The sequence below is a fragment of the Homo sapiens genome, chromosome 7 (assembly GCF_000001405.40).
Source record: "Homo sapiens chromosome 7, GRCh38.p14 Primary Assembly".
Taxonomy (NCBI): domain Eukaryota; kingdom Metazoa; phylum Chordata; class Mammalia; order Primates; family Hominidae; genus Homo; species Homo sapiens.
The window spans coordinates 90,467,699-90,490,060 of NC_000007.14; the positions used below are offsets into that span (position 1 = coordinate 90,467,699).

A 22,362-nucleotide genomic window follows, 5' to 3' on the forward strand; every position below is an offset into this window, starting at 1 on the left:
TTCTGCCTCCTGGGCTCAAGTGATCCTTGCACCTCAGCCTCCTGAGTAGCTGGTGCACACTACCATGCTGGTTAATTTTTTGTGTTTTGTTTTGTTTTGTTTTGTTTTTTGTAGAGACAGGGTTTCACAATGTTGCCCAGGCTGGTCTTGAACTCCTGGAGTCAAGCAATCTGCCTGCCTCAGCTTCCCAAAGTACTAGGATTATAGGCATGAGCCAACGTGCCCATCTCCCACATAGACTTATGATGGCTTTTAGCAGCTACAGAGACTAAGTCCTTCCAAATTTGAATCCAGAGGAAGACAAGCATCTTTATCCTAGCATTCCTAGCAAAAGCTCTGAGATTGACTTGGATTAGACCAACCTAGGTCATGTGCCCCACTCCTGAGCCAGGCATGGTGGCCAGGGAAGTTTTATGACCTGCTTTGCTCAGGTGTAGTTTTCATGTCCTACTTCCAAAGTAGGAGTTGGAACTCCACCCATACCATGAGAACTGAGAGGCAATGAGGGGCAGGTCTCCAAGAAACAATATGAACATAGAATATATGTATTTTTCATTTTAATGGCTGCTTTAGAAAGCAACAAGTTTGCTTTCTAAAGACACTGTAACAATTTACAGTTCCTCCAAAAAGTATAATAGTACCTTTTCCCCCACAACTTCACCAATGATATCTTAGTTTTCTTTTTAAATGCTTGCCTACCTGATGTTTACATTATTAGTTTTAATTTATAATTTCCTAGTTCCTAGTACTAGTGTTTCTAAACTATTTTTTTCATATATTCATTGGCTACTTGGATTTGCTTTTCTGTCCATGGATTCTCCACATCTCTTGTCCGTTTTCCTATTGTTTATCTTTTGTCCTTTTTTTTGTCAATTTATAAAAGCACTTTTTATATTATAGCTAATAACCCTCTGTCTGTCCTCTGCATTGCAAATGGGTGAAGAAAAATTAGCCTGGAACTCTGCACATCTTCTCCTCCTCCATCTTTATTGTCCATACTAGACCCATAGTCCTCAGGATGCAGTCTAGATCAATATGCCAGGAATACTATGGGAAAACTGCAACATTTGTTTTTTAAATTTTTTTAAATAATTTTTTTAGAGAAAAGGTCTTGCTTTGTTGCCCAGACTGGAGTGCACTGATGCGATCATAGCTCACTGCAGCCTCGAACTTCTTGGCTCAAGCGATCTTCCCACCTGATCGTTTTTGAAAAACAAAACAAGATAATTCCTGGTCAAGGACAAGTTTTCATCACCCACCTCTACCCCTCCCCAACCACACATACTGGGGCAAGATTGCTCAAATTTCAGTCATTCTGGAACCACCTCCCCAATTTTTGCCATATCCTTTAAGTTGTGTACTATTTATATTTCTGAAAATTGTCCTTTTTGCACAGATTTATTTTAAAAGCATATATCGTTGCTATTACATCATTGTAACTACTGGTTATATTTTTCCAATACGCATTAAAATAAATTCATAACTATGAAAATAAAAGACATTTATGTACTACCCAAAACATACCTACCTTTAGGAAACTGCATTAGAGCACGTCAATAGGATCACCAGGCTAGTCAAGGACAAGACCAAGGGTTTACAGAGCTGTGAGTTTCACGGCCTTACCACTCATTGATCGCACAACCACTCCCATGGAGTGCAGTGGGTGGTAGGTTCATTTACATCAGAGAAAAGGCAGCATGGAAGAGTGCAACTTCTGTACACATATTCAAGTAGTGAGAATTAGAATCCAGGTCTTTCTCCAAAAAACAACAATGTAGTAGGGAAAAGTGTTGATTTGGGAGAAATAGACCTCAGTCAAGTCCAGTGGACCAACTGTACATGGTATTCAGGGCCCAGGAAGCTGGACCCAGTGCCGACGAGGATTGCACTATGAACATTCTACATTCTGGCTAGAACATTAGGGATTCTAAGGTTCTGCTGATTATGCTGGCATCCAGGGCTTGCAAGTGGCAGCTTCAGCACCCAGGGCTGTGGTAGGTCACAGTCTCTGGGCGGGTCTCAGTGTCCAACACTGTAGCTGGTGCCTGCCAGGTTCCCAGTGGCTGGGGTCACCAGGTCTGAAGAGAGATGTGCTGGCTGCGGGCATGGGGCCAGATCCTCCTGCCAGTTTTCCTCTCCCTCTTTCTCATCCAATTGCTTATCAGCTTCTCAGAGAATGGTTTTATCCACAGCCCCAGGAACAATCAGAAACCAAGAGATGGGAATGAAGAGGGTGAGTGATCTGGAGTCCTGAGGTGGGTGCCCCACATGCTCCAGCGTTTTTTTTCCTTTTAATGGTGCCATCCTGGTGCACTGGAATTTTCATCTCAAAAGTTGTCATTTGGTGTTGGTGGGAAGACATTTTAAAGGTTCTAGATGGTTTTGGTGAAACTCAGTTAAATTGGACTCAGATTAATTTGGTTTATCTGAAATATGAAAGGTAGATTCAAAGTTTTAAATTTGAGGAAAAGCATGGTTTCTCCCCCATCACTTTCTGCATGACCTATGACATATAAGCTTTTTGTTGTGAATAAGCCATTGGGTTTTGTTCTAATCAGACCCACTCAATGGTCATAGTTCCTCTTTCTTAAGTTTTTTAAGGTCTTAGTTAATAAAATGCTTTATTTGTTCTTTTTCATAAAAAAATTACTTCAGTTTGGAGGCCTCTCTCGATTTCCTTCCAAATTGAAAAAATTTTGAAATGTTAAAAGTCATGCTGAGTTAAATTCATGAACCTGGAAATAAGGTTTTAAGTATCCTAAATTGGAACCGTATAGACAAAATAAGAGACAGAATTTGAATTACTTGGAAAGTGCCCTGTAAAGCCAAGATTGCCATTTTTACAAAGACAATGAGACAGAATAATTACTGCTGTCTGGTTTCCAGAGTAGAAAAGAATGTTAGTATCTGTAAGCAAATCAGTCTTCCTTACTAAAACCAAATCCACAGTTCTCAGCGTTGCACTGAAATAAGAATCTCCTTCGAGGGGGTAGGGTTGGGGCGACGCTGAATTAAAAGAGCTAGCTTGTTTTCTTTGGTTTCATCTTTCCCACAGATTTCTCTTTTTTAACCTCTTGGTCACCTCTATACATACTCTAAGAGAAATAGTGTTCCAGTGCCATCCTGGCCCCTTCTCCCAACAAACAGCACCTGAAAGCATAGGCCCAAACATAAAAACAAATTCTTCCTTTTGTTCCCTAGCAAACTGGACTCATACCGGAAATTTTTCACGTCTTAAGACTTTATCAAAATGCTGATGAAGAACAAAAAAAAAAAAAAAAAGAAAAAAGAAAGAAAACAAATAAAATAAATCAAAAATCACATCTAAGATAATCTCCAAAGATGGAAGTTTCTGTTGCTAGCTAGCTCACTTCTAGGGCTGGCCAACTGGAGCCCATGTTTCTAAGGAAACACCTTGCCTGCCAAGGGCCTCTCCTGAATGCTTGCATCTTAGTCTCAGGCCAGTTCCCCTTAGTGCTTGCATTTAATCTTCCCATCTAACAAGGATATGGTTTCTTAGACATCATGATACTTTTCACTTCCAAAACTGAAAAGGGGCTTCTAAGCCTTCACGAGATCCTCATCTATGTCCCAGATTGTGCCCTAAGTGACAGGCAACAGACAGGACTTTGTGAAGGATTGCACATCAAGTGAGACCTCCCCCTAAGCAGGTTGTTTTGATCCCCAGGACTTCTATCTCTGATGTTCATTTACATTTGAGAGCTTAGTAATCAATATCTCAAGAAATTATAGAAAGCACTTGATGCAACTTTGGGTTAATCTTCTAGAATCTAATGACTGGATTAAAAAATATACTGAAACCTAGAGAATTTTCTTCACTAAAAGTAACCAGACAACAAAGGGGCATAGTGCAAAAAATAAGTGGCAACTAAGGAAAGAACTGGAAGATTCTAGATCAGAACAGAATAGCACAGCATGGCAAGACTCCAAATGTTGCCACTCTCCCTTAGAGGTAACTAGTGAGTTACTATAATCCAATAATTTTTATTAATTCTCCCAAATCTGGAGAGAAACAAGTTGAGGGGGTATCCATTCTTTTTCTTATTCCGAAGATGAGAAGAGGAAATGGCTACTGCAGAGAAATAGGTGGAATGAGGACCTGAAGAGAGAGGGCCTGACTCTCTGAAGGAAACTCAGGTTCCTGCGTTACAAGCTGGATTTGAGGGTGGATCTAGAGTCCAAAGATACCCCTTCATGGAAATGGGAAACACCTCTGATAAGCTCTAGCAAACCTTGGCACTGGAAAATGACAAACCTCAAAAGAGAGAGCAGAGTCAGATATTCTAACAAAGCCTGGCACAGCCTCATTTGAGTTCTCCCCCTTGTCTAATGCTGAAAACAATGGAGTGAATAGAACATAAAATGCCATAAAACTGTAGCTTCTTGAAAAAAATCTCAAGGATCATGGTAAGGTGGTTAGGATCTCACCTACACTATATCAGAACAAATGGAAGGTCTGAACAGAGCTGTGCAAGCATTAGTAGAATGAAAACAATAGAGCAACTATGTAAACCCTGCACAGCAAAATAAAGAAATAAAGGAGTATACGATAGCATGCAAACACACACACACACACACACACACACACACACACACACACACCCCAAATAATCTACCCTAGAAGAGAACACAACTCAAGAAACATGAAAATTTCCCACAAGTGCTTTGAGCTAGAGAACAATCAAACGAGAAATATTCAGTGAAACAAGCCTCGAAGTCGATAGCAAGATATCAGAATGAAATTAAAAGGCAGATAGCTCCAAGGAAATAAATTGAAGGCCAAATAATTTGAATATAAGGCAAGGCTTCCGAGTTTTCTCTCTTCATTTGTTTATTTCTGCTAATGGTGAACACACCAAGAATATTTGTCACATACTCTAAGCTTACTTATTGTGGTGGGCTCTGGTAGCTGCCTCATTCCTCTGTCCTCTAGCCTAGGGGGTACTGTTATCTGGGAGGAGGTTGGACTTCGCTTTCTTTCCCCTGGTAAACTTCTCAGCCTCTTTCATCACCTGCATACCCAATCTCGGTACTAAGTTCCCAGTGTTATATATACACAGAGTGATTTCTATTTTCCTGGTTGGATCCTAACTTCATATAGCCATCTTTAAGACAAAAAGTGCTTTAAGATTTTGACCAGCAGGCAGGTATTAGGAGGATTACAGCATTGACACTAAGGTTTAAATGCTGATGGGGAACCAGGAGAGAAACCTGGTATACCACTTCTGGCTGAGGTAAAGGAAGGGTGAGATAATATAAATCTCAGATGGGTTGAAGGGGAATCTGAAAATATTAGGAACTTGTGACTCACTTTCTAGAGTTTACTCTGAATCCACTGGTCTCATAGATAACATGAAGCTAACATGGCTCCCAAACAGTAGGTAATAGTAGCAGGAAGAAGTATCTTAGCAAATGGACTCAAGGACTGCATGTCATAATCCCTTGGACATAAGAATTTTGTAGGGAAAAGATTAGAGAGCCCTAAAATTCCCAATATAGTGGGTGGGGTACAGACAAGGCAGCTCTTGTGACAGCTGGCAGAATTGAAGAGGGAAAGGTCTTTCACAGAGAATACTGGACCTCACGTCTAGAAACCACAGCAGGACCACAGATGCTAGACATGACACTCCCTAAGAAGGGGACAGGTGAGATTCACACAGTGAGGCTAGCAAGGAAGGAGGAGGGGACTCAGTCCAGTCACACCCTAGTGCCAGGGCAACACATAGGCTTTGCTCCCAGAAAAGTATAGCATCCCCAAGGTAAATGGGGAAGGAGCAAACCCTACATTTAGCTAAATGTTTATTCAAAGGAGGATGAATTAATTGACTGAACTTAGATTGCAAGTTTATGGTTTTCTGCCACTAGCAGAAATGGGGGATTTGACATTATACTGAATTGTGATGTAAAACTGAATTCTGATATTGAGAGGCCTAGATCAGATTCCACCTCTTCTATGATGCCTTCCTTTAGTCCACCAAATCTGAGTGAATAGTTGCTCCTGTACTTAGCTGCGCCTCTCTGACAGTACTTGTTTCACCAGAGAGGCAGAAGAACACAGTTATTACAGGCAGCAGCTCACACTGCCTGGACTCACCTCCCAGCTCTGTTGCTTACTAGGCCCATGCTTTCTGTGTCACAATTTCCTTATCAGTAAAATAAGAATAAAATAGTATCTTCTGTAAATGGTTGTTGTGAGGATCAAATGAGTTAATCTGTGTTATGCACTCAGAACATTTTCTAGTACATGGTAAGTTTTCAGTAAACATTATGCAGTCATGTGTTGCTTAATGACAGAGGTGTATCCTGAGAAATGCATAGTTAGGCAATTTCATCATTGTGTGAATGTCATAGAGTGTACTTACACAAACCTAGATAGTATAGCCTATTATACACCTAGGCTAGATTAGCCTATTGCTCCTAGGCTACAAACCTATGCAGCATGTTACTATGCTGAATACTGCAGGCAATTGTAACACAATGGTAAGTATTTGTGTATCTAAACTTACCTAAACATAGAAATGGAATAGTAAAAATATACAGTATTATAATCTGAAGGGATGGCTGTCCTATATGCAGTCTGTTGACCAAGATATAGTTATGCAGCACATGACTAGTTATAGAGATATATATTATGACAGTGCTGGAAAACAACATGAGAGCCAGAAAATGTTAAGAATCCCTGAGAAACAGAAAGCAATTCAGATCAGACCAATGGAGAAAGCCACAGCCTAAAACACACATAAGAGAAGACTAATGTAAGAGTGGTTTCTGGGGTTGCTCCAAGCTCAGCAGCACTGAATACAAAGAGCAGGAGGGAGTTGTGGAGCAGCTTCCTGGGTGCTGATCTTAGAGCACTATAGCTGGTTGCCTCTCCACCTTCTCAAATTATCTCAAGAAGCAGGCAGCAGAGGCAACTGCCCCAGGTTAACAGTGAGTGTGAATTATTGGCCTGGAAGGGCAGGAAAAGATATACTACCAACACACTGAATCTGGCAGCATGTCCCAGTCCTCACCCACACCACAGAGGTGGAAATAGCCTATATACATACACCTAAATCTTAACTTGATTGTGCTAACACAATCAAGAATCATGAAATCCAATAAAGAAAAGAACCAATTTATTAAAACACATTTAAGAGAGGGGAAAAACACCTCAAAATTAGAAATTTCTCTTATAGAAAATGGCAAGGACTAACAAGATTCCAAAGGAAATGACTAAGCTGGCAAGTAGATTGGCTTGCCACAACTCCAAAGGTGCTAAAAGTAGACAGTGAGACTCAATGGATCAGTGCCAGACGGTTTATTACTCATAGCACAGCCAACAGCAGGAACGTCAGTATGGCAGCACCAAATCTCCTGCCCCCAAGTCCCATGGAGCAATGCAATGTATCCAGATTGTGCTTATGAATGCAGCCAGATGAACTGGAGCTAAGGAACCCAGGACTAAGAGCTTATGAACTTTTATGGCAAGCAGTAAAAAATCTAGTCCCTGGGGAGTAATTGTGACTATAGTCACACTGTGGTTGCCTTGACCTATTTAATTGACTATGTTACCAGATACAGAATAAGTGCAGGGTCAGAGGATAATTACGCCAAGAAGTTTGGCACATTGAGCAAGGAAATCCAGAGATGCTCAGGGTCTAGGATGTATGTCTCTCTCAACACTATAATTAGTATTCTCATGGAGATAGCCATGAAACAAGAACAGACTATTCTGGAAAAGATGATGAATCTTGGAAATTAAAAATATAATCAACACAAACATAGCTAAAGAGTGAATTAGCAAACTCAATAATTGAGCCATGGAATTCTTACAGAATGCAGTACAAAAGAACAAGAGATAGCCTGTAGAAAAAAGAGACAAGAGTTCATGCCAACATTAATGTAATAGGAGTTTCAGGAGGAGAGAAATGGAAGAGAGGAACTAATTAAAGAAAAATACACAGAAAAATATCTTTGGGCCAGGCGTGGTGGCTCACGCCTGTAATCCCAGCACTTTGGGAGGCCAATGTGGGTGGATCACGAGGTCAGGAGATAGAGACCATCCTGGCCAACATGACAAAATCCCATCTCTACTAAAAATATAAAAATTAGCCAGGCGTGGTGGTGCACACCTGTAGTCCCAGCTACTTGGGAGGCTGAGGCAGGAGGGTGGAGTTTGCAGTGAGCTGAGATCGCGCCACTGCACTCCAGCTTGGTGACAGAATGAGACTCTGTCTCAAAAAAAAAAAAAAGAAAAAGAAAAATATCTTTAAAGTTTTGAAGAAAAGAAAATGGTGTCGAAACTAGAACATATTAACAGACTAAGCCAGCTGTGCTCTAGAAGGTATACAAAATAAAAACATTTGGACACTTGAAGAGTCAAAGAGTTTATCATTCACAGACATCTGAAAAAAATACTCAATAATATCCAGCAAAATGAAAAATGAATCCAAGGGGAAAATGTGGGATTCAAGAAAGAGTAGTAAGCAAAGAAACTAGTAAAATGAAGAGTTAATTCTAAATAATTTATTATAATTCAACAGCAATTTAAATATGTCAAATAATCATTAATAACTTTAATAGTAATTAAAATTCCATCTGATTTCTGAAATCCATATGACACAGAAATCATATGGAAGTTTAACTGCTATTAAATAGTTAAAGTTAAAATTATTTAACTGGGAAGTGGCATGGGGAGAAAGAGAAGAGTAAAAACATATTAGGATCTTTGTCTAGGTTGAGAATGTAGATCCTGATTAAATGATGATAGAAAGATGCATATAAAATATCTCCCCAAATTTTTAAAATAACAGCTCAAGAATAGAAATAGAATGTGTATTTTGAGGTCACTAGAGGAAATAAAGGAATAAAGAATAAATTGATGGAATAGGATATACCTTACAAATGCTACTGAAAAAGAAAGCAAGTGTAGCAATATTATATAAAACAGAATTCAAGTAAAAGAAATCATTAAGTCAAAGAAAAAGTGATATTCCATATTGACATGTAGTACAGTACACCAAGATGACATATGACAAACCTTTATTCACCTAACAACATAGTTTTAAAATAGATGTAACAGGTAAATAAAATATAAGAAGAATTTTAATATATAAAATCTTGTTATTTTACATATACTCCCCATTGTTTTTTTCTCTTAGCTGTTCTTGAAAAATTTTCCCTTGCGGATAAACTATATTTTTATATTATTAATTTATTGCAATGCCAATAAAAAAATTTTGTTTTGATATTTTGCATAATATATTTTATGCCAGGAATGTCTAGGCATTTGAAATTGTGATTCTTCATGGGAGAAGAGGATCACGGATGGAACTTTATGGAATAACAACATTTCAGACATTGGTAGGAGTGGAACCAGTTGAAGAAACTGAAAAAGAAAGACCAGCGATGTTCTAAGAGAGCTAGGAGAAATGATACAGAAGTCACGAAAAATGTAATCAAGAGCAAAGAAGTAACCAGATAGAAAACATATATGCAAACATCAGGCCTTGAGGGTGAAAGAATCTGGTACCTGGTAATGCCATGGAAATAGCTAGAACCTCGTTCTTTAGGAATAGAAGAGAAGAAAGAACCTACTGATTCATGTAACACATAGGTCAGCTGTACCCTCATTAGTTTTCCAATAAGGGCAAAAATGAGTATTAAAGAGATGGCTTGTTAGTTATACAAATGCTCAATCTAAACCTCAACCATGGAACCAGAGCAGGCTATTTACTGACATAATGTGTTGAGGAAGGAACTTCCTCTCTTCGCTCTTAGCCAAAACTCTTTTTCCATCTAATCAGGAGAAAAGCATCAGACAAATCCTAGTTGAGGGGCATTCTGCAAAATATCTGAAAGTACTGAGGATAGTAGTCCTCAAAACTGTCAAGGTCATGAAAGCAAGGCAAGAGTGAGACATTGTCGCAGACCAGAGGAGACATGATGACTAAAGGCAATGTGGTATGGATGGGATCTTGCAAAGGAGAAGGACGTTAGTGTAGAGACTGGTGAAATCCTGATAAAATCTGGAGTTTAGTTAAAAGTCACGTGCCAGTGTTAGTTTCTTGGTTTCGATTAATGTACCATGGTAGTGTAAGGTATTAACAATAGGAGGGCCAGTGCAGTGGCTCACACCTGTAATCCCAGCATTTGGGAGGCTGAGGCGGGCGGATCACGAGGTCAGGAGATCGAGACCATCCTGGCTAACATGGTGAAACCCCATCTCTACTGAAAATACAAAAAATTAGCCGGGCGTGGTGGCAGGTGCCTGTAGTCCCAGCTACTCGGGAGGCTGAAGCAGGAGAATGGCGTGAACCTGGGAGGCGGAGGTTGTAGTGAGCCGAGATCGTGCCACTGCATTCCAGCCTGGGTGACAGAGTGAGACTCCGTCTCAAAAAAAAAAAAAAAAAAAAGAAAAAGAAAAAATTGGAAAACTGGGTGAGGGGGTATACAGGAACTCCCTGTAGAATCTTCACAATTTTTCTGTAAATCTGAAATTATACAAAAATAAAAACTTTAGTTTACAAAAAAGCTGTGGGAAGCATGTAGAGCTCTGAGAACAGTGGCCAAGTCATGTGTCCTCTGTTTCCCTGTTTCTGCCTTCCGAAAGGAGCCTGAGGCCAGCTGTCCTTCACATAGCTGAGGCAGCAGAATCTTTACCATTCACCTTGCCTTTTCTTTCACTCAACTTTCCCATGGGTATTTCAAGGATACTTTCGGCTAGGAGGAAGTAACATTCAATAGGACTTAATTTGAAAACTGAACTGTAAAATTTTTTCCCCAGCCACATCAGATCTGCATCCAATCAAACAATTTGAAATTAAATAGAAAGATTTGACCTTTCCCACAGAGCCTGTGAACTCTGTCCCCAAAATAATAGAGAGAGCAACTTTATTGTTGCTGTATCACAAAACAACTAGGACATTAATTCCAGACCCTTTCTTTAAGGAGATGTTGCAGTAATAAAATGAGGCATTGAAATGCTTTTTTCCAAATTCATAGTTTTTATTCTAGAACTTTCAAATATAAATCATACTGTTTGTTTTTCCATAAAACTAGAGGAATGAAAATCCTCATTTGGGAAAAGTTTTTAAAGCTTTGTGGCAAAAAAAGATAGGGAATTAATTTTTTTTTTTTTTTTACTATTTAAAGGGTTAATTAGTTAAGTAAGAATATCTTGGCAATACCATCCTGAATAACAGCACATGATATTTTAAAATACAATGGAGTTGCCAATTTGTTTTTCCTTACTATGTTTTGGGGGTTGTTTTTTAGAACTTGGCTCATCAAAGTTGGATGATGCTATTTCATGTTTTTCCAAGAAATAGGAGAAAAGACTTAAAACTAAGAGGATTTATACAGTACTGGTAGGGATCTAGATACATGAAAATAATGAAGTAAAATGCTGGGGTATGGATGACTATGGCTTAAAACAGGAATTACTAAATGAAATGCACTTTTATGTAAAATTGAGCAATAAAAAGGATTTGGATTAATTTTGGACTTAATTTTTTTTAATTGTAGAATGTGCTGTAAAGAAGAGTTGTCAATTGTGCACAGAAGATAAGAAAGTAAGTTAACTTTCTTATGAGGAAGTTGTTCTGGGAATGTTATAAAGTCACAATTTACAGTTGTCATTTAAAAGATATGCTAAACTTTGTTTTACACATTTTTTATAACAAGAATGACTCATAACAGTTATTAAGATCTATTTATGCATTTCAAACCATTCTTTGAGGATCTAGAAATAAACAATGGAGATAATTAAGTACAAACATGTACTTCCTCTGGAAAATTATGCTTCAAAAAGAAAAGAATTATTTGCTTGAAAAAAATTATACTGAAATTTTGGAATAATTTTTGTAAGTAAAGGAAAAGATATATCTTTTGAGATGTGGTGACAATTTCCTTCCCACTTCTATTTCCTAAAGACTAGAAAGAATGACATACCATTCCTTAACCACAGTGTAGATGGAGTCCTCTTCTTTGATGATTAAATGTCTGAAATCATTGCTCTTCAGTTCAGATTTGGAAGAAAGCAGAAATGCTATAAGTTATGAGGGAAATGGCCACTTTGTGTCACAGACAGGTTTGCAGCAAGCCACATAAAAACCACTGTAGTCTAACTTGTATTGGATAACAGACGATACTAAAAACAGAAGCTTGAAGTCACTACTTAGAAAAGGGCACACTCTGGTAGTTGGTGTCTCTCATAGTGATCTAGATATACACCCTCTGCCCTGTCTTATCTTCCTCTAAAAAGACAAATGTCTATCACTCGTCTACTTTAATGAGGACCTGGGCTTCTGGCTCATGGCATTCTCCAGCCAGTTCATACTACCATTGCCTTACATGCTTTCCACAGCCAGCGATGACCCAGACATACTCTTTATACAGTACTGGTGGGGGTCTAGATACGTGACCTGCCTTCCTCAACCCTGCCTTCCTCAACCCTGTGTAGTAAGACATCACTTCTGTGGCATCTCTGAACCCTGCACAATCTACATTGGCTCTTACATTCTCACTCCCTTATACTGTACCTACTCTTTAGCCTCAACAAGACAAGAACATCCTCCAGTCCTTTAACACTCTTCTTTTCCCTTCAGTTTATTGGCCCTCTTCCATAGACTTCCTTCTCTTCTATGAATTCTCATGGTTGTTCACCTGAATACAATATTCTTCCAGTTTTTGTTGTCGTTAAATGTTTTATAAAGGAAATTTTCAAATACACCAATAAAGAAAGCAATATAATAAAACTTTATACCCCGAAGAGCCATCTTGGTCAATTTTTTTAATGTATGCTCTTCCCCTCTAAATGTATTATTTTGAAGCAAATGATGATATGGATACCATATCATTTTATTTAAAAATATTTAAGCATATATTTCTAATTGATATTTTACTTTAAATATTACAAGTTCATCCATGATCATATCTAAAAGTTAACAATATCATCTTAATCTCACCAGGCACCCAGAAAATAATAAATTTGTCTTGTTGAGTCATTTTTGTTTGTTTGTTTGAATCACATTCATACATTGCAATTGGCTGATATGTGCCTTAAGTATCTTTTAATCTATATGTCCCTTCTCCCTTTTTATTTTGTTTTTTGCAACTTACTTGTTGGAGAAACTAGATTGTCCTATTTGGTTTCTCATAGTCTGGATTTTGCTGGTCACATCCTAAAAGGATTTGGATTAATTTTAGACTTAATCCCAAAAGGATTTGGATTAATTTTGGACTTTTATCATGTTCCTCTTTTCCCTGTTCTTTTGTTCTTATAAACTGATAATTAGATATAAAGGCTTTATCAGATTCTGTTTAATTTTTTGGTAGGAATGCTTCATGCTGAGAGGCCCTTCATTAGGAGGTAGATAAGATTTTTTGTCTAGCATTTGATGATATTAGCAATGATCCTTGCCTAGATCTATTGTTTCCCTGGGAGTTGTAAAAACCACTACTTTAATGGCTTTGATCTCTTTTTTTAAATTTGAAATTTTATTTTTTGTGGGTACATAGTAGGTGTACATATTTATGGGGAACATGAGATGTTTTGATACAGGCATGCAATGCATACACCCTCTTATTTTTAACGGCACTGGACCCACATTCCGCAACTCTGATTGGTCCTTTGGTTTATATTTTCGTTTGCTGTGCATTACTAGCTGATTGCTGCTTGAGCATATTTCATCAACATCTGCATGAATACAGCTACAAAGTCACAATTTCTGGTCTCACCTGAGCCCAAATACTACCTATCACTTGCTTTTGGTTAGCAATATTGCCTAAAATTTCCCACAGCAGCAATTTCCCCATCCCATCAATATCAACAGATGTATTCATCTCCAATTTTATGGAAAAAATTGAGGCCTTAGGTATAAACTTCATTCCCCAACTGATAACATTGCTGTCATTTTTACCCATCATTACCTATTCTTATCCCTCCTTTTAGAGGAAGAATACCCCCTGCACTTCCCCTATATTTCTCTTTTGGACTTGAACATGTACATTTTTGAATTGTAACTCGTATCATTTAAATTGTTTTTATGTTCACCTTCCCCTTGTTCTCAGCTCCTTAAGGACAGAGTCCATGTTTTTTTATTCATCTTTGTATCTCTAACACCTCACACATTTCCCACACATGGCAAGCATTCAATAACTATTGAATTAACTCTTGAGCCATTCAAAGAAGGGTAAATTAATTCAGTATACTCTATAATGTAACATGATAGATACTTTTTTAAAATTTTCTAAATATCATTTATAATGGAAATACTGGGAATATGTGTATTTGAGTGTAATTTTTAAAATATTTCCAGTACCTCATAGAAATGAACTAAAAGATAATTCCACATGGTCAACATAGAATTAGGGTATTATCCTTTGGAGAAAGATCCCCTGCCCTCCCAGAAGTTGGAAGGATGCAAAGCTTTCAGTGGTAGTTTCTGCCACCTCCTATACTCCCAGAGAAAGTGCCAGAGTTTATAAGATGGTAACTCATGAAGCAACCGAGAATATTTGAGCTCTTTTTGGACTAAAAGGAGGATAAACAGATGTCTTGGTATATTGTGCTACTTTATGTCCACTTCTCCGTGGACTTGGAGAGAATATATATACCAACTCCTTTTCATTTCCCAGAATATTCCAATTTGTATGATAAATGATATTCTTCTTAACTGTAAGGGAATCTTCCTTAGATTCTATCTGAAACATTTCCTTGTGATTTCATAGTGTAGGACTAGCCTTCCTAGAGTTAGAAAACATTCTTACCAAAAGCTCATTCATAAAAATCACATTTACAACCCCCCCCCCACACAACTCATAAACATAGCGTATGAAAAACATATTATATTTTCTTGATATTTTATATTAGAAATAAAATTTCAAAAATCAGGCTAACTAAAAAAGGAGAAGCATCTTGTAATCTGTGCTTTTATTGCTATTCAGTCGTTATGCATCCCTGTTGAATCCTTGGAACGAAAGTTCTCAATCATGGTGTCACAATGATAAGACTTGTCATAAGTACATTTTTTTGCTTTTTGCTAATGAGCATCATAAGACTGTTGCAACTGACTTAAAATCAGAGTAGATACTAGGTTTTCTCCATAATCACATCTTTCTCACTAACTGTGACCTGATATGGATGGTTGGTTGAGACAAAAAGGCGTCAAGTTACAGCAAGCCCAGTGGGATTTTTGAATCTCCTGCAGCCTACTTTATCTATTGCACAGTTCATAGGAAATGACCATTACTCAGATGCTTGTAAAATGCATTTATAAATGTCATACCTTACAACCCACAAAGAGATGCTCACTTTGATATTTATTTTTCTGAAAAATTGTGTGTGTGTGTGTGGTAGGGCATGGAGTCTGGGAGAATGGACAAGGTGATGGATCCGAATCTGGATATGGCAGTCAACATGTGGATATCACCTGTTGGGAGTCCTTCAGCTGGAATAAATATATGGACAACCAGTATCGTGGATTATTTCCCATGGCAACTATTCCCAGCACTTTACCACTGTTGGCATGATCCTCCTTTCAGGGTTTGACTTTCCTTGAGAATTTTAAGACCATCTGACAGGTTCAAGTTTCCTCATTTTTCACCTGAACCAATTCAATATCTTTTCTCTTTCATTGACTTTCCCCTTGAGAAGTCTGTTCTCATTTCTGAGGTGAATCCCTTAGTCCTTGCCTCTATCTATGTGTCATACTTGGAAACACATGCACATTCACAAACTCAAAGCCTTTCTCATTTCCTTGTTCCCTCTATGACAAATCCAGCCTATTTCTGTGCATTGGCTTCCTTCTGAGTTCAGACAAAATGGAAAACACAAACAAAACCAAATCTTCTCTTTGTTTCTTTCTAGAAGCTGAAGTACTTATTCTGTGCTTATTCTACCATTGCTTCCGTATCACACAGTGTGATTTAATCCTTAGCAACCTGATTTAGAGGTTACAAAAGACTCAATAACCAAATGCAAAAACCTTTCAAATTAATCACTCATTCCTTTTGGAAACTTGCTCCTTCCTTGGCAATCTTGGCTTTATACAGGCCCTATTTCTTCCCTCACCATTTTGTTTCCTTTACCAATTCCTCTTCTTCATTTTCCTGAATGAGCACATTCCTAATTCCTAAGGAGCGCATTCCTTCATTTCCTAAATGAGCACATTTCTTCACACTGTGTCCTCACTCTTGTGCCACATCTTTCACAGTCCTGGTCTCTACCACAACCTGCATATAAAGAAATCCCAAATTCACATCCTTAAATCTAGTGACACCCAATGGTGATGCTCACAGCTGCTTGATTGGCATTTCTTTCTGGATAGTTTTTTTTTTTTTAAATCACATCATGCTCAAAATTTCTTTAACTAAGTTTATAATTTTGCCTTCCCCAAAGAAGCTCATGTTCTTTACTTGTTTATTTCTGGTACCAATATCCCATAATTTTAGAAATCATTGGCTTTTTTTTTTCTTTTTTCCCCGAATCTGCTCTCCATTCTTTTCTTTCACCTGGAAAAATCCTGGATTTTCTGCACATCCCATCCCCCAACCACTGGCATAATATTAAGCCATTTGCTTTATACAATCTTAAACCACTAAAAATTATTATGTATCTTCCCACTTTCTGCATGTTTTGATTTTAATGATATTTTTATTAAAATAGCAATTGTGATGTCCATATAAGCTTAATAAAACAGCTCTACCCTAAAATGAGTACTATAATTTTCCCATGAAAACATAATAGCCATCACTCTAAAGCCTTTTAGCTGGCTTCTCAGTTGTCACACTCCAAAAAGGCTGATGGCTTCATATTTACATGGGTTATTTTCCTTAGTTACAAGAAAAAAATCATGTAATTTACCTTAAATTATACATTACCAATTTAGGAATGTTGAATATATTATACTGTTCTTGGGGGCAATGTGAAGTTCTGGTCTTTGATAACTTTTTAGATGTAGTTAAGGTATTAGTCACATATTTTTGTGGCAAGGGACAGAAACCAAACTCAAACTAATTTAATAAAAAGGGGAATTCATTGGCTTACAATATTGGGAAGACCAGGTGTGGCCTTGCCTTCTTGCACAACTGAACCAAAGGATGTCTTTCTCATTTTCCTCTTTTCTTTCATCTCTCAGCTCTGCCTCCCTCTGGGAATTGACTTTATTTTTCTCTTGTGGTAAATGGACATTCTGCATACAGCTGGGCAAGGGGCTGACTGCCAGCAGATCTAACCCAATGTCTGTAACTTAAATAGTTGTAACTCAAAGAAGATTCTGATTGGCCCTATTGGGGTTTTATGTCTGGTCCAGCATTTGTTACTAGGCTACTGCCTGGGTCAAAAGACTACTCCAGTAGTAGGAATAGGGTGAGGGAAAACTGATTGGCAGCCACAGGACCACACAGGGCTTGGGGAAGAGGTCCTCAGTAGAAAAGGGTGTGATTACCAGAAAAAGAAGAATGGGGACACAAAGTAGCAGACAGATTTTAAAAATAAACGACCTCAGTCTACTATTTTTCCCCCTTGACCTTTCAGGACAGGCATATTCTATTTTCTCCATCCATCCCCATATTTTCCTAAAAATGCTCCTGGCAAAATAATGCAACTAAATCTCAACTGCAATTGGACTTACCCAAGGTCACTATCAGCTACTGCCCCCAGCTCTAAGTCTGAAATCTCTGAGAGATGTGCATTACTCTTGATGGTGTTTGAATACAGCTCCACACACTCCTTCAAGTTAGCTATATAATCAGTTAAACTAACTCTCAAAGACCCACTATTCAATAGAAGAGAGAAAGCCGGATAACAACAGTAAACACTCCTATTTAGAAGGAGGATAGTGGCCAATAGTCCTATAATATATTCCAAGTCTGTAATACATTGTTGAGTTTCCCTGGCTGGGCAGTGAGTTGTTGGTCACCAGTCTAGCTGCTACCAAAGGAGTCTCTTTTCCATTATTCTCTGAGCCCCAACCAGAGAGAGGCATAGGGGAGATTGTCTCTTCTGGGGCCTGCACTTCTTTAGGAGCTCGCCTGTGGTGGACTTGGTTACTGGAACCTGGGAATCAGCTTAGCACTTAAGTGCGCATAGCTCTTAGCTGCAAGTTCAGGTTTTTTTCTGGCAATTCATTTCCCTTAAAACCCTGCTAGATCTTGGACTTGATTCCTAGACACTCTGAGTACTAACAACCAAGGCCAGAAGTCTCTGTGGGCTGTAATCTTTGAATCTAGACTTTATCTTTGCAGTTCCAGTCTTTCGGCAACCGTCCAGGAGGACAAGACTCATTCAGTGAAAGTGGCTTCAATTTTAGATTTGACTGAATGGCTTGATTTGACCGTTAATCTTGTCCAGTGTGAAACAAAAGCTGGCCTGTGATATACCCTTGGTACTTACGCAGTGTCTAAGGGGTGGTTCTTTACATTGGAGTGAATCATTACCTCTGCTGGTCCCAGGATGTACAGCAAGAAGTGATTGGGTGGGGTCTGGGTTCAATCTTACAGGATTGGTTACCAGCACAGAGCCATGCTACTTAGGTTAGAACCCAGGCTCCCCTATTTACTAGGTATGCAATCTTATGTAAGTCATTTAACTTCTCTGCACCTTCTTGTTCTCATCTATAAAGTGGACATAATAGTACCTAGATCACCGGGTTGTCATGAGTATGAAGTGAGTGGATATATATATATAAAGGACTTAGAATATAGTACCTGTCACATGGTAGGCCCTATGTAAGTGACAGCCATTTTTACTGCTTTGTCTTCCTTTTTTTTTTTTTTTTTTGCTTTTCCAAGTTCTTCTGGTTTTACCTCCCATAATGTTTTTCACCTTTATGCCTTGCTTAAGGGACTTAGAATTCCATTTTCCTATTTCTGCATGATTATCTGAGCACCAGTGAGCAGTGTGGGGAGAGGGGTGAGGTAAGGCTTGTTGACAGTACCACCAGGGCCATGTGTAACAGAGGAGCAATCCCAAAGGAAAGAGTCGGGGATGCAGGCAAGAGGAATGGAAAGAGTGATAGAGAGATTTTAAAAACCATTTACCTCAGTTCTTATTACTACTTTGTGAAATAATATCTTTGGTTTTGTTTCCTAAACCTAGAGTCTGAGAAAGGGGTTCAGGTGCATGTGATTTTTGAGTGACTGCTCTTCAGCAAAAATCCTATGGAGTGACAGACTCAGGGAAGATAAGCGGCAAGAGCCAAGAAAAGATGAGGTCTTAGCTAAATCTCACTCTTGGCCTGAATCATGGGCAGCCCTTGGGCAAAAAAAGTCACAAGGTAGAGTTGTTCCTCACTTGAGGCAAGGATGCCCACTGTTTGGAACCCCATGTCAGTCAGTCACTGGCCTGGAGAAATAGTAACCTTGTGGGCTAGGTGGTCCCTATCGTCGTCCAAGAAGAGGGGAAGCTGTGAGCCACTGGGAGCCAAAACTTTTTGCAGCTGAGGTTTGGATGCATGGGTCTGACAAAGGAGATCTCAATAAGTTACCAAAGGCATCTACTACAAATAATAATAATAATGGTTATTATTTATTGAATACTTATTGAGTTAATACTAAAAACTTCCTGGGATTGTGGTTATTATACTTGGACACCACTTTTATTTTTCTCTTTCCAAATATAGTGTGTTTGGTGTAGTGAAGAAAAAGCATGCAAAAAATACTGTTTTCCCTATTTCGGTTGTCGATTCAGTTCTATATATTGGTTAAACTGTAAAGGTGAGTTGTCCTTATTTAGATTTTTATGTTCTTTATTTCAATTGACTTGCAAATGCTAGTGATTTGCTACATTTGAAGGATTATAAATTATTACATTTGCCTTACATATTAAAATATAGCAAGTCCAAACCACCATGGCACATGTATACCTATGTAGCAAACCTGCATGTTCTGCATATGTATCCCAGAACTTTAAGTAAAATAAAAATAAAAATATAGCAAGTCCAGGGATGTTCATTGGTCTTTCCTCCTGATGTAGGCTTATTGGTTGTTTGCAGCAATTATTCATTCAAATTAAGTCAACATTCATTTTGATTGGTGGATGCTTTGGCATACCAGTAGCTAAATACTTTAAATTTCCATTTCTAAAATCTCTAGTGTATGATATCCATAACCCACTTAAAGAATGTTTGTATTCTTATGTCATTTTAGGAATTCCAGGATTTTTTTTATAAGCTAGTCCTGGTCTGAGGATATATTATATCTAGAAACATTGCTATAACTTATATTTTTTCAGCTAATGTATTCTACACTGAGAATTGCTATTCAGAATAATGATTCACTAGGACTGAACAAATATTAATCATCAAAGAATCTTTAAGTTATACTGAAATGTTGGACTTTTGGTACGTTATACAATACTTACCAAGGCAGGAAAACGTACCAGTACCATTTAAGAAGTTTCCTTAAAGAATTGAAACAAAATGCTTTCTAGGTAAATCCTAGCTATGTGAAAAAACCCAATCTAGAACAACCAGTTGTCTTCTTTTTTCCTTCACTGAAGTAAAAAGATATAAATTTTGCCCTCAAATCTCTGTTTCTTTCCGGTACTATCAGATATATTTAAATCATGCATGTTTTTGCCTTATAAAGAAGTTACACTTCTTGTAACTAGTATGAACTAGTCTCCTATTTCATGTTTGCCCTTCTAGTTTCATTTTACAACATACCAAGCTAATAAACTACATTGTGCTTACTGAGATAAGAAAAAAAAGTTTACAAGGGGTAGAAATCTGGTTTTGCAGCAAGCATTGGTTGTCTCTTTGGTAATGGACTGCTGAAATTCAAACAATAAATCATTTCCTGCTATCTAGATGTATCTTTAGAGATACAACAGCCTGAGGGATTTGTTGTTTTACCTATTAAGATAGTACCAGAAATGAGTTTAGAGGTAAAATAAAGAAAAATTAAGCCAGTAGCCTAATAGTTCACCAATTTAAAAATAAGTAAATCAAATGTTAACTCCTCTAGCAACCCAGATTATTTTTAAATGTTAGTGATTGTTGTGTTAATGGTAGTTTTATTGGAATATGTAATGTATGTTATTGTATCATTACTTTCAATAATCATTTGTTAAAGAATCACATTGCATGATATTAGAAAAGATGCAAATAGCAGAAATTACTGATGTTCTGTTAACTTAAAATATATTTCTTTTTATACATTTCAGTTGACATGTTTGGAATCATGATGCTTCTACTCATTGCAGTATTAATTACAGGATTCGTTTGGTACTGCTGCGCCTATCACTTTTACCTGCAGGAGTATGCTCATTTTATCCTTATTAAGAATGCACTTTGGGGTAATATCATTGAAGAGAATACTAAGCTAGTCATCAGGAAATGTTTTGCCTTTTTTATGTAATAAAAATAATATATCCACATGGTAAGGAAGAAAAGTCCAAAAAGTACGGAAATTGTAAAATGAAAAAAAAAAAAAGTTTAACTTTCTCATCCCCCACCCCACCTCTAACACTGTCTTCCCAGAAGTAATCCTTTTAGTATGGTTCTATTTGTTGTTCTTCTGTAGTTACCTCCATATATTTGATTTTGATGGTTATGTTTTCTTTTCATGATTAATTTTAGATGTTATCTATTGACCCCCAATCATTAAAGCAGAAAAATTTATCTTGCACTATACACATTTTTTTTGCTATTAGTAGGTATTATCATTGTGTTATTTTTGGGTTGTTACTATTTTTTTCATTATTTTTAGTTATTAGATCTTAAGATTACTAATATTTCTCCTGTTGACTTTGAGTAATCAATTTAATTCCTTGTTTCTATGTCTCAATCCTTCTCCTGTTACACATAAGAAAATTTGGATCCCTTCCATTTATCCTCTCTTTCCTCTATCTCCTAAATTCTATAAGCTTTCTCATTAATTTGACCTTGTCAAATGTGTAATATTTACATTCTGTTCTGTGGCCATAATTATATCTTGAAATGCTTACTCTATAATTTCACTCTAAAATTTGTTAACTACTAAAAAGGATAACATATTTATACATGATTGTATAAATGTTGTTTAATAAAGAACCAAAGTGGAGTAGGAAATATAATTCTATGCCACTAACCTATATTGCTTGAAAAAGAATTATCAAGTGCCAAGATCAAATAGATTCTCTTTTCTTACTCTTTATTTCACAAAATCATGCTACATTTCAGCTTACTTCATGTTACTTAATTGTAACTTTCCTATACAGCTTTTGCACTTTCTAGAGTTTTAAATTATCTTCATTATTTCTCATTAACAAAAACACATGTATCTTTATTCTCATCACTGTGATCATTCATCTTTGTATTTGCTAAAATACATTCATTTTCTTCTTATAAATATTCTTCTTAAAGTCTTCTGGCT

At 37.4% G+C, this 22,362-nt stretch overlaps 1 protein-coding gene across 1 annotated transcript in view, besides 1 other annotated feature; it reads left to right on the forward strand.

Moving 5' to 3' along the window:
• Positions 1-1,940: 1,940 nt before the first annotated feature.
• PTTG1IP2 (PTTG1IP family member 2) overlaps positions 1,941-22,362 on the forward strand; it is a 43,759-nt gene continuing 23,337 nt past the window's right edge. Inside the window, exons 1-4 of the mRNA NM_001365443.2 lie at positions 1,941-2,233; positions 11,530-11,576; positions 19,629-19,722; positions 21,173-21,266. Coding sequence (NP_001352372.1) covers positions 2,089-2,233; positions 11,530-11,576; positions 19,629-19,722; positions 21,173-21,266 — 380 coding nt within the window. The 5' untranslated portion in view covers positions 1,941-2,088. The remainder of the gene's footprint in view (positions 2,234-11,529; positions 11,577-19,628; positions 19,723-21,172; positions 21,267-22,362) is intronic.
• Positions 7,117-7,411: a silencer, noted in NCBI's record as "tiled region #14602; HepG2 Repressive non-DNase unmatched - State 24:Quies". NCBI's record gives its function as "represses a minimal TATA promoter and a strong SV40 promoter by Sharpr-MPRA in HepG2 cells {active_cell/tissue: HepG2}" and the evidence as "EXISTENCE:reporter gene assay evidence [ECO:0000049][PMID:27701403]".